Source organism: Homo sapiens, chromosome 12 (assembly GCF_000001405.40).
Source record: "Homo sapiens chromosome 12, GRCh38.p14 Primary Assembly".
Classification (NCBI taxonomy): domain Eukaryota; kingdom Metazoa; phylum Chordata; class Mammalia; order Primates; family Hominidae; genus Homo; species Homo sapiens.
Genome location: NC_000012.12, coordinates 27,956,927 through 27,973,958, shown reverse-complemented (window position 1 = coordinate 27,973,958; position 17,032 = coordinate 27,956,927). Strand labels below are relative to the sequence as shown.

The following is a 17,032-nucleotide window of genomic DNA, read 5'->3' as shown; positions in this document are numbered from 1 at the left end:
GGGTTCCTCCCAGGAAACCGCCTCCTCTCTGGGCCTCCTGCTTCAGTTTGGGGGAAGCAGAACATTGCCCAGGAAGTAGGGAAGGGTGAGGAAGGGTGTGAGGCCCACTTTTCCCATGGGAGGATCCCATCAGCTTGATGCATATCTATACACTCCTCCCTGAGGCAGTTCCTCCAGAGGTTAGCAGCCCGCCCTGTTCCTGGAGAAGTCTTATCCTCACCTAACTACAAAAAGATTTAATAAAGAAACACACCCTTTCCTATTGTTACTTGGGGTTTGAAGGCATTACATCTTTTTTTCTTTTTTGCTACCTTGAGGTCAGCTGGCAACAGCCTCCTCTCAAGTCTCAGTCCAGGCGAGCGATGAGAGCCACATTCTAATGGAATCCAATGAGAGCATTACTTGAGCTGATTATGCAACGTCTCTTTGTAAACATTGAAAAAAGTTTGGAGAAGAGATGGGATGAGTTTAGTTGTTTGGTTCCAGGGGATTTTAGAGACATAGCTTGCAGCTACAGATTGGTAAATGTGAAATCTGGATGCTTATTGGTAATAAGAGAATTCCCAAGCCCAGGTGCACTGTTTAAAGTGCTATAGATTCATATTTGGTTTATAATGTATATCTGTTTGCTGTTTGGGTTAAGGAGGAAAGAAGAAAGAAGGATGAAGAGGCTAAGCATAAATGCTATTTACTTTTTTCTAAGCTATGACAGGAGATATACATTAACTGGGTATTCAACTGAATTTAAGAGTAATGCATTTAAAATTTTTTCAACCTCTTTTAAAATTTGATATACTGTAATAAACTGCCACTGGGGATGGGAAGATGGAAGCCTGGTGCTCATGGGCTAGGCATTTGTGTAGGTGTAGATCTTATAATGCTAAACATGGAAATACTTCAGATTAGAGGCAGGCCTTCCCATTTGCTAAGGTGCATTTACATGACAGCAAGGCCTAAGCAAACATTTAGCTTCTATTGGCACTTGTTCTATTTCTAAACCTTAGAAAAAAGGTGTGTGTGTGGGCTGGGGGGACGGGGGGGGGAGGGAGGTGGTAGGGGGTGCTCTTGCTGTGTCTCATTTGCAGTCATGCATCCTCTGCATTATTATGATGGAGATTACTCAGTTATGTTAGGAACTAGATTATGATGTCAGAAAATATCCTTTCCAAAACAGGCAAAAAGTCAGGGTCCTGGGTATATATTGAGGAGAATTTCTACGGAAAGTAATAAACAGGGCAGCTTGGAAGAGGTACCTGCTTTCTAATAATTGCCTTTAGTGGGAACAGAAGTCTCCTTTCAAGAAGCTTTTAATTCATTTTAAGATTTAATTTTATGTTTTCTGAAGAACAACAAAAAATATTTCTGGAAAAGACTGCTGAGAAGATTTCCCTCTTTCAGCCAGAAGAGCAGAGAGAAGATTGTAAATCAAGGAAAAGGTGAAGTAATAAATTAGGAGGGAACTTTGGTATTCCGAGTATATAAAGACTATTTATTTTTCCTGTGTCTATATTTTCTCTTTTTGTGGAGGAGAGGAAATTCTAAAAATATTTGATAGATGTTTTGCCATTAACACCAGAAAAGTGTGTGGGGAAAAAGAAAGGAGGGAAGGAGTGGGGGGTTAATTTTGTTTAATTAGTAGAAAAAGCAACATAAATCAAAGCAGTCTATTGATGCCAGTCCTTAATTTATAATGTTCTGAAAGTAAAGTGAATTTATTTACAACATAAGTGATTTGATAATTTCAATCTGATTTTTGTTTTAACCTTCTATTGGGAGAAGGGTTGACTTTTTAAAGCCTGGATAGTTTGAAACTTGGCTAGGTACCTTGGACTTTTTATTGTGGAAGCAAATATTATCATTTCAATGTTAAACAACTTGCAAGTATTAAATGGCTCATTTGTGATTGACTTTTTTTTTTTTTTTTTTTTTTTTTTTACAGATTTCCCCCTTCAGATCTAACGATTACATTAGGGCTCCTGCATCTTTTTGGAAGGATTCTTTTTATAAATCAGAAAGTGTTCGAGGTTCAAAGGTTGACATTTCTGAGTGCTGATACTTTGTCCTTTCATACTATCCAAACAAGTCTAACATTTAGAAATCCTTACACATTCAAGGGAAGTTGTGGAAATTCCCAGAGAGAGAGTGTGTGTGTGTGCGTGTGTGTGTTTTGGTTTTGTTTTGCTTTTTTTCTTTGTTAGTGAGAAGAAGCCGAGTCTTTTAAGGTACGGGGTTTACAGTAATGAACTGAGGAAGGCAGGAGCTTCTAAGAAAATATGCCCCCCCACCCAACCTAAGCAGTAAACTTTAACTGCTAGCTAGCTGCAGTGAACCAGTGGGAGCCCCGATGAGCGAGGGTCTCGGTGACAGCGTGCTATTTCTCCCACCCTGGGTAAAATATGTGGAGCATCACCCGGAAAGTCGGGCTTGATAAAGGCCACATTCCTTGAATCATCTCAAGAATCTAAATCACACTAGCCTTCTAGAAACTAATGAACCCTACCAGCAGGATTGCCTAGAAGACAAATATCCCTTGAATGGTTCCCAGTCCACTCGCGCTCTTTTCAAAAAGTTAGAGGAGCCCTGGGGAGGGTATCCACTCCCGCTGCAATCCTTTCCTAGATGATACTACCCAGTAATTCCGAGCAGTCTTTCTTCCCCGCCCATTAGCTTTGGAAAGAACCTCGGCTTTCCCGTCGCTTCTCCCAGGCAGAGCAGCACATAACCATAGTTCCACTGCATCTGTCCGCTGGCTGCAGCGACTCGGATACAGTCTTCCAAGAATCTGTAACCTGGGACTTTTGAGGGGGAGGGGACAAGCAGGTAGGGTATCAGAGAAAGGATGGGTTAGACTCCCGACCATGAGTGAAAAGGGCCGTGTGCGTGCTCCAGGAGTGTCGGTCCCCCTCTGCAATTCAAAAGGGGGATCTCTCCTGTGCGCGGGTTTTTTGGGACCGGCTCCAGATGTCTCCCAGCAGTTCTGAAACAGCAAAAAGTGCAATTTAGATATGAAATCTGGAACTGTTTTTGTTCTTCTAAGCAAAAGATCTCCCTCTCTCTAGCCGATGCTCCCCACTCAGTTCATCCCGGGAATGGGCCAGGGAGGAAGGTTCTCATGCATCGCCCCGAGCTGCCAGGCGAGCTTCGGGCTCCTTAAATTCACAGGCCAACAGCCCGCGTCCTCTCCGCGCAGGCTCCCGGTTGCCCGCGGTCCCCGGCCCAGCTCCTTGGCCTCCTCCTCGTCGGTCCGCCCCTGGTGGTCTTGGCGCCCGCTCGTCCAGCTCGGCGCGCCGGGGACCGCCGGCTGCCCGGGGCAGTCCGCACGCCCTCGGGGATCTCGGCTCCCGGATCCGCCGCGCCGGCAGGAGCCGGCCGGGCCTGGAGGGAGCAAGCGGATGCGCCCACGCCCCCGGCACGGGGATGGCGCGACAGGGCCCGGGCTCCGGGGTGGGGCTCGGCAGAGCTCCTGACAGCTCCGGGGTCGGCAGCGCGGGAGGGGGGAGCTCCGCCGCTCGCCGCTCATTCCCGGCTCGGGGCTCCCCTCCACTCGCTCGGGCGGCGCGGGGCCCGTTCGGGCCGCCCGTCGCCGCCCCCGCCCCCCGCGCGCCCGCCCGCCAGCCCGCCTGCGCCCTCGCTCGCCCCGCGCGCGTTCCTAGGGCGCCACCTCTTTGCGACTAGCTCACTTCTCCGGCAGGTTTGCCTCGGAGCGTGTGAACATTCCTCCGCTCGGTTTTCAACTCGCCTCCAACCTGCGCCGCCCGGCCAGCATGTCTCCCCGCCCGTGAAGCGGGGCTGCCGCCTCCCTGCCGCTCCGGCTGCCACTAACGACCCGCCCTCGCCGCCACCTGGCCCTCCTGATCGACGACACACGCACTTGAAACTTGTTCTCAGGGTGTGTGGAATCAACTTTCCGGAAGCAACCAGCCCACCAGAGGAGGTAGACAGACAGCTATGTATATATATGTGGGTTTCGCTACAAGTGGCTCTGGAACGAAAGGGCCTGGTTCGCAAAGAAGCTGACTTCAGAGGGGGAAACTTTCTTCTTTTAGGAGGCGGTTAGCCCTGTTCCACGAACCCAGGAGAACTGCTGGCCAGATTAATTAGACATTGCTATGGGAGACGTGTAAACACACTACTTATCATTGATGCATATATAAAACCATTTTATTTTCGCTATTATTTCAGAGGAAGCGCCTCTGATTTGTTTCTTTTTTCCCTTTTTGCTCTTTCTGGCTGTGTGGTTTGGAGAAAGCACAGTTGGAGTAGCCGGTTGCTAAATAAGTAAGTGCTGAGAGGCTCCAGAGAAATTTTTTTTCTTTTCAACTTGGGAGATGCCCTTGATGTTGAAGAGGCTTTTTGAGAGCGGGCTAAAAAGGGGGAGCGGAGTAGTGCGGGGAGATGGAGAGTCCAGACTGACACTCGGGTCCCATTCCCTTCTGTTGCAGGTCCCGAGCGCGAGCGGAGACGATGCAGCGGAGACTGGTTCAGCAGTGGAGCGTCGCGGTGTTCCTGCTGAGCTACGCGGTGCCCTCCTGCGGGCGCTCGGTGGAGGGTCTCAGCCGCCGCCTGTAAGTGCCCCATCCTCCCCAGGGCGCCGGGTTGGGGAGGCCAGGGGGAGGGGCTGCCAAGCTGGGATGCTGCCGAGGGCTTGCAGCGGTCACCGATGCTCCTTGCCCGGGTTAGGGAGAGGGACCATCCCGGATACCTGCCGGGGCCTGAGCCCGGGTCCTCAAACCTGGCAGGAGAACTGGTTGATCTTCAACGGGAGACAGGCAAGAGAGAGACTTTATGTGTGTTTCCATAAGAGGGAGCGTTTCACAGAATCTCTTCTAGGGAAAGATCCTCTGCCTCTAGTGGAAAAGAAAAAAAGTTGGGGGGTGGTGGTTACTGTCAGGACCCGGGAAGCTTCTGAAACTCGGAGGAAGCTGAGCGGTCCTGGGGACGTATGGCCTGCGCGCTTGTATACATACTGAATGTGGGTGGCGGTTTGCGTGTGAAAAAGCAAAAGCCGTACATCTAATTTTATTATGAATGACATAATTTTAAGCATATAAAATAGGAACACATTACATAATAAAAGCGTATTATATAATAAAGTAGCAACAACTTTGCAGTGGCACGACTCCAATGTTAGTATTGATACAGTTCAGGAACGCTAGAGCGCTTGATTCCAAAATGAATTTTAGGTGTGGAACCTTTTTTTTCTTGGAGTTATTGCTAACAGTTCTTTAATCTGGAGTCAAATATTTGCATTGTAGACTGAAAACTTGTATTTTGGCATTCTCACTTGGTGATTCTTTTAATGATAACTTCAACTTTGAAATAATCATACATCCAAGCACACCAGAGAAATATCACTATGTCGTGTGACTGAAAACTTGGAAGAGTGATAGAGTAACATGATCTTAATAATCTGTTGGACCTAGCAGTTCACTAATGTGTATAACACCATAGTTGGGTGATCTTTAAACTGCAGACTCAGTGTTCAGAATGGGAAAACTATAAAGTTCGAGAACTGAGATGCGTTTGACTCTGGAGAAGGAATTAAGGCAAATTTTTACACTAACAATAAAAATAGCAGTATCTAATATTTACAGTCAGGTTTATGGTGCTTCCTTGTAAATTCCCGAGGGTGTACAAAAAGGCAACTGTTTTATACGTGCTTGTGGTCTATTATTATTAGAGGAGAAAATCCTTAAATGAAATTACTTTAGACATGTCGGAACCTTGGCATCAAAATGAAAATCTATTATGAATCTCCTAAGGCAAATTGTGTAGAACATTATACCGAAGATAAGGCTGCATTGTATTCTTCAGATCAACATTTTACCGATGTGTTTCTGAAAATTGTCTTCAGACTTTTTGCTCATTTTGAAACTTGTCTTAAATTCAATAATTTGAAATTCATACATAAATAGAAATGAAGACTGAATTTTTAAAAGCACACTTAAATACTATATTTATTTGGCTAAGAAATACTACCTTGGAACAGAGCCAATTTTTTCTTTAAAGTTGCTTAAGAAATACCTGTTTTCTCTTTTGAGAAACAGCAAATGATTCACGATTATATACACAACTATGGCATAAAAATACTGCTAAGTTGTCCTAAAGGCTATTTTTAACTCTTTCTTTGTTGCACCTTACAAAACACACATCAGAAACCATTTAGCAGCCAGCGACTGTTATAGTTTTGTTTGTGGGTGAAATATAATATTGTAGTTAAACACTCACACTCAGCAGATGGTTATAAAACTACCACAAAACATTCTCATAGTTAATGGGTAATAGATCATCACATTACAGGCATGGTTTTTCATGGAGGCTGAAATCATCAGTAGATGAAGATGTTTCATCAAATTATCATAGCCAAATGGAGTTTTTAAAAACAAGTCATTATTTTTGTCTTGCTGCCAAGTAACAGTAAATTTTGTGTGCTAGACAAAACATAAGTCTACCATTATGCTAAATCAAGCTAGTTTCTTGAAAGAAATTTTAACATATAATCAAACCATATTACTCCCCGGTTTTCACACCAAGTATTAGGGAAACTGCTTTAGAAGTATAGATTTTTTTTTTAACTAGATGCTAACTTTTAAGGGAGAGGAAATTACTATAACAATAAGACTTCCTAAACCATGCAAAGGAAGCAGTTACAAATTGTGAGTCTTTTTGACCTGTTAATCCCAAAGATTTTAATTAATGGAGCTAGAGCATGATCAAGTTGGATACTGGAAAGTGAGGCCTATGGATGTTCTTGTGCAGATGAACAAGGCTTCTGGCAGGTGGCTATCTCTATGTTTAAGTTAGAGAGGGAACTCCACAGATTCAGAAACCTAAAACGTCATTGGCTGATTTGCTTAGGAGCCAGACTGGGTCTATTCCATTTAATGAAAAGCATAACTTTCTACTGAGTCATTTGGGTTGGAAGGACCTTCTGGTGAGTCATCTTAACTCTAACACCCTAACCCTGTCTCTTGCATGTACCACAGAACTTTTCTTCTCAAACACAGAGTCCGTCCTTAGAAGCCTAGCATCAGTACAAGCATACTGCTTCTTCCTGTGCTGGAAAGGGAATTTCCATCACTGTTTTTATGCCCTCTGTTCCTTGATAGTTCCTTAGAAATCTAAGCTTCTTCCCTAAAAACTCCCTTGGAGTGATTTTTTTTTTAAAGGAGAAGAACTATGTTTGGGCTGAATTTAGGGTTATCTATGATAAGCATTTCCCCAAAATTTTGCAATTTTTTTTTACAATAATCAAAGGAGAACATGATACATAACCTACCTGTTTTTCCATTTTGGAGCTTAGGTATGTAAGTGTCATGTGAACCATAGTGCTATGTAATGTTTACAGACAAATTGAGTAAAAGACTATTATTGAGGCCATATTTACAACTTAAATATTTCAGAGTTATCTAAATTGAAAACGTCCTTAATTTGAATTTATTACTCACTACCTCTGTATACCTAGTTTATACTGATGCCATTATATTCCTGATCCTCTAATGCAACTGCCTAGTGAGAGATTCATTCTTCACAATACTTTAATTGCAGAAGTTTTTGAAATACTAAGTAAAGTGTCTAACAGCATTTCCAATTTAGCATTTAAGAAAACTTGTGTTTTCCAAGATACTAACAGTTTCCCCCAAAAGGCAGATGAAAAGCTTTGTCCCTCGTAAGCAATGTACTATTTTAAATTGAACAAAGCTGTGCCATATTGTAGGCTTTTTATAAATTAGAAGGATGGAATGATCACTGCATTTCCCAAGAGAACTATCCTGGGAAAATGCAGCTTGAGTTAGGAAGGCACTGTGACTCACAGTTGACAGGCTGGCCAAGATGACAAGCACATATGCCCATGAGAAGGGGCATATGAGCAATGGTGGCTTAATTAGAATAGACCAACCATTAAAAGTTTTGGCCTCAAGTTAAGCTAAAATGGGCTACACTTTATCCATTTGGAGAGCAATACAGAAGACGAGGGCTTCTGCCAGGAACAGAGAAAGAAATAAAAGCCCCCAATACTATAAATTATCAGTGGTTAAGAACTGCTTTTTAATGTGACATTTTGCTAAAAGATACTTATTAAACTGTAGTGCTTATGAAATATGCAATTATATCTGTCCTATTATTTTATAAATGTTATTAAAGGATATAAATACCTTGTACCAAAGCCTCAAACTTGTAGATTCTTAAAAGTTTCCAGAATACTAACTATTACCGCAGAGTAAGTGAATTTTAATCTAGTCACATGTGGCACCTTCTAAAAGAAAGAGAGACTCCTTCATGCCTCATTTAAACCAGGCTCCTGTTAAATTCCTTTCCATTAAGTCATGTCTTTTTTGAATGAGCTACATGGCTTCAAGTCAGTCCACACACTAAAATACTAGAAGGTAGCTGACATTCTAGCTAGAAGGGCCAGAGAAATGATGACTGTATTTTCATCTCTTACTCTTTTCTTTGACTCATTCATCCAGTGATAATCCAAACTCTTGTAGTTCCTAAATTTGATGATGAAAATGAACTTTCTGGGCAATAGGCTTGATCTTCAAGGAAACTGATAAATTTCTGTCCAATCTGCCTATTATTGTGGTGGCTTGTTACTCTATGCCCCATGCATATACCCTGTACTCTCCTTACCGTGTTGCCTCAACACAGGAACAGGCTGGGACTTCAGCTTCAGCTTCCGCTTAGGCAGGAGAAAGCGTTGAGGAAATTGAAAAAGCAGTCTTGGCTTTAGAATCAGAAGACCTAGTTTTTGGAGCCCTGGCTCTGCCAGTTCTCATTGTGTAGACTAGGGCAAGTCATTTAACCTCTCTGCACCTCACTTTCCCCATGAATACAATGGGGGCAGTAATAATGCTATTTATGATTGCCATATTTCTCTGAGGAGTTAAAGACATTGCACCAACAAAGGCAACAAAGGACCCAGACACCATTGTTTCAGGGAAGTAAGAGTACATGGGATGTAGCCCTGGGAAACACTTTGAGATGCTTTTGAGGATGGGCCAGTTTGGAGGACTATTCCAATGGTAGAAATTGGAGTTAATGCAGAGTTGAAGCAGGCATGATATGACTGATTAACAGATGCAGTCCGTAAATATGGTTAATAATATACACAAAATAATAAAAGAATACACAATGGACATTTAAGCAAGAGTTTGGGTGTTATCTAAAAGGATTGATAGAGAATTAGTTTATTCTTTCTCACGATATTTTCATTAGAGTGTCATTTAAATAGAAAAATCCTTTATATTTTTTCCTAGAGAATTTTAAGACAAAGAGAGCAAGTAGAAAAGTGAACTTCTCAACTAAGTAGTAAGGATCATACTCTCTGAAGTTCTAAATTTAAAAAAAAAACATGAAGCACAGAAGAAATAGAATGAGCTCATTTAAGCACACAAAGAAACCCATTTTAAGGAGACCACCCACTACTTTACAGAAAAATACACATACTCTCCCTCTCTTTCTCTCTCTCTCTCTCTCTCTCTCTGACGATTGGCCTTCAAATGTATGTTCTTGGTAGCCAGTAGTCTAAAATGTTAAAGTTCAGTCTGTGAATCAGATGGTTTCCTAGACAGGCTACACTGCTCACTTCTCCTTCAGCCTTTGTTTGTTTTTACTCTTACGGCTTGCTGTTTCAATATTATTATTTTCTTAATGGGGCGTGTGTGTGTGTGTGTGAGAGAGAGAGAGGAGAGAGAGAGAGAGAGAGAGAGAGAGAGAGAGAATACTCAGGTAAAAGCAGCTGCCTTTTATTTCCCAGGCTGGGACTTCTAGATTTATTTTCTCAGCAGAACTCTGAAAAATGTGAAGAGATACTCCGTGGTTTCTGTCTATTTCTGATCATAACTGAATCATATGTTTTAAACCGGGAAGGAAGTATAGAAATCACTGTCTCTGACCCCTTCCTTTTATACAGTTGAAGCCCATGAGGCCCAAGAATGTTCATGTTCCCACCAAGGTCACAACCTAGTGAGTGGTAGAACTGGGACCATGAGCTGGAGCCTTCCAACTGCCAGCTCTTTCCTTCCCACTGGTTACCCTTCCCTGCGCAATGAGCTTGCTACCCATCCAGCTTGTGTCTTACGGTGGACCAACTAGAAAACTAAAGAGATTTACTCATGTCTTTGTTGTCTCTATCAGCAACTAAAATTTAACTGTTTTCTTCCCCTCTAATATTTTCTTTCAAAGCAAAAGAGCTGTGTCTGAACATCAGCTCCTCCATGACAAGGGGAAGTCCATCCAAGATTTACGGCGACGATTCTTCCTTCACCATCTGATCGCAGAAATCCACACAGCTGAAATCAGAGCTACCTCGGAGGTGTCCCCTAACTCCAAGCCCTCTCCCAACACAAAGAACCACCCCGTCCGATTTGGGTCTGATGATGAGGGCAGATACCTAACTCAGGAAACTAACAAGGTGGAGACGTACAAAGAGCAGCCGCTCAAGACACCTGGGAAGAAAAAGAAAGGCAAGCCCGGGAAACGCAAGGAGCAGGAAAAGAAAAAACGGCGAACTCGCTCTGCCTGGTTAGACTCTGGAGTGACTGGGAGTGGGCTAGAAGGGGACCACCTGTCTGACACCTCCACAACGTCGCTGGAGCTCGATTCACGGTAACAGGCTTCTCTGGCCCGTAGCCTCAGCGGGGTGCTCTCAGCTGGGTTTTGGAGCCTCCCTTCTGCCTTGGCTTGGACAAACCTAGAATTTTCTCCCTTTATGTATCTCTATCGATTGTGTAGCAATTGACAGAGAATAACTCAGAATATTGTCTGCCTTAAAGCAGTACCCCCCTACCACACACACCCCTGTCCTCCAGCACCATAGAGAGGCGCTAGAGCCCATTCCTCTTTCTCCACCGTCACCCAACATCAATCCTTTACCACTCTACCAAATAATTTCATATTCAAGCTTCAGAAGCTAGTGACCATCTTCATAATTTGCTGGAGAAGTGTGTTTCTTCCCCTTACTCTCACACCTGGGCAAACTTTCTTCAGTGTTTTTCATTTCTTACGTTCTTTCACTTCAAGGGAGAATATAGAAGCATTTGATATTATCTACAAACACTGCAGAACAGCATCATGTCATAAACGATTCTGAGCCATTCACACTTTTTATTTAATTAAATGTATTTAATTAAATCTCAAATTTATTTTAATGTAAAGAACTTAAATTATGTTTTAAACACATGCCTTAAATTTGTTTAATTAAATTTAACTCTGGTTTCTACCAGCTCATACAAAATAAATGGTTTCTGAAAATGTTTAAGTATTAACTTACAAGGATATAGGTTTTTCTCATGTATCTTTTTGTTCATTGGCAAGATGAAATAATTTTTCTAGGGTAATGCCGTAGGAAAAATAAAACTTCACATTTATGTGGCTTGTTTATCCTTAGCTCACAGATTGAGGTAATAATGACACTCCTAGACTTTGGGATCAAATAACTTAGGGCCAAGTCTTGGGTCTGAATTTATTTAAGTTCACAACCTAGGGCAAGTTACTCTGCCTTTCTAAGACTCACTTACATCTTCTGTGAAATATAATTGTACCAACCTCATAGAGTTTGGTGTCAACTAAATGAGATTATATGTGGACTAAATATCTGTCATATAGTAAACACTCAATAAATTGCAACATATTATTTTGGTGTTTTTGGAACTAGTTCTGATTGTACCATCTACCTATCTATAATCTATTTCTATCTATCTATCTATCTATCTATCTATCTAGGGGGGTATGTTTCTATGAGGCAAAAAGTGGGGCAAATATTAATCCCATTTTATAAAATAGAAAGCCAAGGCATTCCACGGCTAAAAGACCTGAGTAGTCCTTGGAATTGAAATAGGTGGCCCCAAAGCTGGATTTATCTCCCTGTTTTCTGACACGTAGACAGTGCTATGTTTGCCCTGCTTCTTTATCGATGCATTTCCATTGAAATGATTTTTTTTTCTTTTCACTTTTCAGTACAGCACTTCTGTGGGGTTTGAAAAAAAAAAAGGAAAACAACAGAAGAACACATCATATGCAACTAATGATCTCATTATTTAAGAGTCCCCTGTTACTTCTTTAGTCATTTCCTTTGACTCTGCTACAGATAGGATTATAGGATGATGCTTCAAAGGGGACCTTGAACCTATTCACCATTATTTGTCTCTTTAAGCTGGCAAACCCATCATTAAATAGCACATAAAATAGCAATCATATGGGATAAGTAGTACAGCTTCAGTAATCAATGGGCAGTGGCACTAGAAAAATCTTGAGCACAGTGAATGACCTATCCTGCAAACATCTAATGGATCTCTAAAGGGTAACAAACCCTATAAATTCTGGCTTACTGCACATATTTAGTGTGTTTTAAGATAGGATCCTAACTGTATATATTTATAACTAATGTAAGGACCCTACTTTATTGCCAAAACCTATTTTTATCCATTGTCTCATATATATAAACATGTCATATATATAAACATATATATATAAACATATATGTATATAGTAAACATTCAATAAATTGCAACATATTATTTTGGTGTTTTTAGACCTAGTTCTGATTGTATCCTCTACCTATCATCTATCTATTTATATCTATCTATCTATCTAGGGGGATATGTTTCTATGAGGCAAAAAGTATATATATACGTATATATATATATATATATACGTATATATATATACGTATATATATGAGTTATAAAAAGAGGTATAAATAACTTTTGATGGATTTTATTTATTTCAAATTTGCAATGTTCTTTAAGTATCTGGAGAATTGATGAAAATTAACACTCGTCAATTCTTACGCCTGGAACTACCCCTAAGTTAAAGTAGGTCTAGTGAAAATTAGACAGTGGCCTAATCAAATCCAGACCTAGGGCTGAAAGAAATAGGAGGTTTCTGCTTTTCCTTTCTCTTCCCTGTTTGTGAGGGACATTCATGGAAAGAACTGTTTGGCAGCCAAATGTTGGCACTCTCCCAACACAATCCAACAGAGGTTCAGGGAAGAGTGAGGAAGCTTAGGAGTGTATTGATGAGAATGTATGGGGCCATGCAAGTTTTGTAATCCAGATAAAATCTTTTCAGAATACCTAAAGTTTTATAAGTGATAAGTCTTTTATTAACGTCCCCTCCTTAGTCTTTTTGCATTGTTACATGGTGAACCAAGAGATCTGATGATATGGCAAGCATGAACTTGATTATAATACATACAATAGTTTGAAAAACAATATTCTTTTTTTTTTTTTTTTTTTGAGACAGAGTCTTGCTCTGTTGCCCAGGCTGGAGTGAGATGGTGTAATCTCGGCTCACTGCAACCTCCGCCTCCTGGGTTCAAGAGATTCTCCTGCCTCAACTTCCTGAGTAGCTGGGATTGCAGGCACCCGCCACCATGCCTGGCTAATTTTTGTATTTTTAGTAGAGATGGGGTTTCGCCATGTTGGCCAGGCTGGTCTCGAACTCCTGACCTCAGGTGATCCACCTGCCCCAAAGTGCTGGGATTACAGGCATGAACCACCACACCGGCCAATAATACAGCATTCTTTTAGAAAAAACAACTGAGGTAAAATTGTCTATTTTCCTCTCACATGAACCATTCAGTGAAAAATATATAGCTTTAAATTGGAGGAATTATATTTTAGAATTTTCAATGCTTCAAATGTGATATCCAGATACAGTGGGACTCATTTGTTAGAAATCATATCATTTTTGCCTTGGAAAATACTGATTTATAAAAATATTAAAAGTCCATAGTAAAAAGAGCTAGGACTGTAAAATGCTGTCATATGCACACACATATAGTAAACATACACATACACTTTTAGATCCTGTTAGGTGTTTTACTTGGCTATTCCAATACATGCCTCTGTTAAAGGAGAAATCAAAAGAAAGGAGAATGAGCAAACATCTGAGCAGGGTGAGATACATAGAAGATTTCTCCTTGGTCCTTTAACTTACTTCTTTTTCTTTCTTTCTGAGGAAATAATTGTTAAAAATCCTCTTCCTTCCCTCTTTGTGTTATTCTTATACTCAATTCACAAAATACCATTTAGTACAAACACATTTAAAAATCAGTAAAGAATGCAGATTATTGAGTTTTGAGGTCATCTTTTTGGCTTTATTCATATCATCTATCCACATCCATCCACCAATTAAAATTTTAATCTTAAACTCTTCTTTTCTTTGCAGTTGGAGCGATTTTAACATTCCCACCAAAACCATTGGTGAAGAGATCAATAACCTAAGACATTAAAACACTTTTAAATGTTCAATTTGCTTTTTCTGTAAGCAGCATAGAAAACCCCAAAATTGTTAAGAATATGCTGCTTTGTAGGTCTTACACCCATATATGTCTGCCATGTAAAACTCTGCCACAACTCTGACTGTTAATTCAATGACATAGCCAATCAAATTCCATTCTGTAGTTGTTTCCTTGGGAACAAATACATAGACCACACAAAGAGAAGAGAAAGGGAGACAGAAAAGCAAAGAAAACTCCGCTAACCCATCTTAAAATACTGTCATTACAGTATTTAGATAGATTAGAAAAGGTGTCAGTTTCTAGTAACTTCAGAATAATAAAACAGACATGGTGATATGAAATACTGATATTTTATACTTTTAAATTAATTTATTCTTAATTATTCCCGCATTTACAGTAGACTTTCCCAATGCTAACAGAAAAATCCATTCAAAAACCAACAGAGTGAGAGACAAATGATTCTGTTTTAGTTTTGGCTTTGAAAACTACTACAAAATCCAATAATAGTTTCATTCATTAGTGTTTAAAGACAGCTAAAGAAATGCCAAATATCATATCATCAACTAAGATGGATATCATTATACCATCAACTCTATTTAACTACACATCCTTCCAATTGTTCCCAAAGTCCACACTTCCACTATCCTCACCACAGCCCACTATGTTGTGAGAGATTGTCCAAATGAGCACCTGAACAAAATAAACAAGCTTTGGATTGCCTAATTCAGGTGTCACTGGGGAATAAACTTCCAAGTGAATTGTATTTAATGATGGATGGTCCAACGTAACCTCATTTCCAAGTTCTTAAATTTGTCCCTTCTCTTCCCAAACTTGCCAGCTGGCAGTCTTGGAAAATTTTTCCACAGTCTCCTTTTTCTGACAGCATGATTGGAAACGCAGGCCCTTTTCCTTTCCGCACATATGGGCTAAGTCAGGTTGAAGACCCTGCCTGTAACAGAGGTTATGGAGATCTGGGTGGATCCCACAGATACCTCTTGCAGGAGATATTTACAAGAAGTTCCCTGAATCTCTTTCCATTGTGATTTTGCATTCCTTAGCTTATATCCTTTATATTTTATGTTTTCATTTGTAAAGAAAACTAACCTGTTTTCTCCTTTTCTTTCTCTTCCTTCTTTTTGCAGGAGGCATTGAAATTTTCAGCAGAGACCTTCCAAGGACATATTGCAGGATTCTGTAATAGTGAACATATGGAAAGTATTAGAAATATTTATTGTCTGTAAATACTGTAAATGCATTGGAATAAAACTGTCTCCCCCATTGCTCTATGAAACTGCACATTGGTCATTGTGAATATTTTTTTTTTGCCAAGGCTAATCCAATTATTATTATCACATTTACCATAATTTATTTTGTCCATTGATGTATTTATTTTGTAAATGTATCTTGGTGCTGCTGAATTTCTATATTTTTTGTAACATAATGCACTTTAGATATACATATCAAGTATGTTGATAAATGACACAATGAAGTGTCTCTATTTTGTGGTTGATTTTAATGAATGCCTAAATATAATTATCCAAATTGATTTTCCTTTGTGCATGTAAAAATAACAGTATTTTAAATTTGTAAAGAATGTCTAATAAAATATAATCTAATTACATCATGATTCAGAGAGTGAATTCTATCCTTTAAGATTTTTAGTAGAAGGAACATGATATGTTTTTTTAAAAAGCGATTTGAATACAATCTTAAACACAGTATGTTTATGTTGGTACACATTCCAAAAATTCTACATTAGCTTTTAGTTAAAAACAACTTAAAATGTATTTTGTTCAATATTTCAGTTCAAGTCAACAGCATGGCTGAACTATCTAGATGTCATTTTATAAAGTACATTCAATTTGAAGTTCAGACAGGAGTGGGCAGAAAAGAAGCAGAAAGAAATCAGGAGAAAGGATTAAAGACATTAAGTCCAGAAGGTTGGCCAGAGCTGGAAAAAAGGGAAAGAGGCCAGTCAGAGACTATAAGGCCGTAAATGTAAAGTGTAATTTAAGAGATTTTGCTCTTACTAGTAACAACGATATTAAGCATAAAAGAGCTAGTTGAGAATACTGCCTATTAAGGTTCCTAACAGAAAGGAGAAAGACTCAAGTTTGGGAAATAAGTAACTGCTCAAAAAGCTCTCAAAGGTGAGCATTGCTTTCCTGTGGTATCACAGTTCCTGGAATTCTAGTTGCAGACAGCTTGGTTGTGATGCCATGTGGAATCTCTTTTGTATTTTTTTTTTAACTTTTAAGTTCAGGTGTACATACACAGGTTTGTTACAGAGTAAACACGTGTCATGGGGGTTTGTTGTACCAATTATTTCATCACCCAGGTATTAAGCCTAGTATCCATTAGTTATTTTTCCTAATCCTCTCCCTCCTTCCACCCTCCACTATCCAATAGGCCTCAGTGTGTATTGTTCCCCTCTATGTGTCCATGTGTTCTCATCATTTAGCTCCCACTTATAAGTGAAAACATGTGGTGTTTGGTTTTCTGTTCCTGTGTTAGTTTCTAAGTATAATGGCCTCCAGCTCCATCCATGTCCCTGCAAAGGACAGTATCTCATTCTTTTTTATGGTCGCATAATATTCCATAGTGTATATGGACCACATTTTCTTTATCCAGTCTATCATTGATGGGCATTTAGGCTGATTCCACGTCTTTGCTATTGTCAATAGTGCTGCAATGAACATATGCATGCATGTGTCTTTGTAATAGAACAATTTGTATTCCTTTGGGTATATACCCAGTAATGGGATTGCTGGGTCAAGTGGTATT

At 40.2% G+C, this 17,032-nt stretch overlaps 1 protein-coding gene across 7 annotated transcripts, besides 2 other annotated features; it reads left to right on the top strand.

The window, feature by feature from the left end:
* On the top strand, positions 1,226–15,875 carry PTHLH (parathyroid hormone like hormone). Of its 7 annotated transcripts, none has more exons than NM_198965.2 (6): positions 1,226–1,436; positions 1,940–2,032; positions 3,692–3,934; positions 4,443–4,565; positions 10,189–10,611; positions 15,391–15,875. In NM_198965.2, the coding sequence occupies exons 4-6, from the start codon at positions 4,465–4,467 to the stop codon at positions 15,398–15,400; spliced, it is 534 nt and encodes a 177-aa protein (NP_945316.1). In that variant the 5' UTR covers positions 1,226–1,436; positions 1,940–2,032; positions 3,692–3,934; positions 4,443–4,464; the 3' UTR covers positions 15,401–15,875. The 7 variants fall into 7 exon arrangements, with proteins under 7 accessions (NP_945316.1, XP_047285135.1, XP_016875164.1 ...); XM_047429179.1 differs by having other exon boundaries at positions 3,692–4,278; XM_017019675.2 differs by lacking the exon at positions 1,940–2,032.
* Positions 4,057–4,566: an enhancer, noted in NCBI's record as "H3K4me1 hESC enhancer chr12:28122326-28122835 (GRCh37/hg19 assembly coordinates)". NCBI's record gives its function as "activates a minimal SCP1, AML or CMV promoter by ChIP-STARR-seq in primed H9 embryonic stem cells {active_cell/tissue: H9 hESC(primed)}" and the evidence as "EXISTENCE:reporter gene assay evidence [ECO:0000049][PMID:30033119]".
* Positions 4,567–5,077: an enhancer, noted in NCBI's record as "H3K4me1 hESC enhancer chr12:28121815-28122325 (GRCh37/hg19 assembly coordinates)". NCBI's record gives its function as "activates a minimal SCP1, AML or CMV promoter by ChIP-STARR-seq in primed H9 embryonic stem cells {active_cell/tissue: H9 hESC(primed)}" and the evidence as "EXISTENCE:reporter gene assay evidence [ECO:0000049][PMID:30033119]".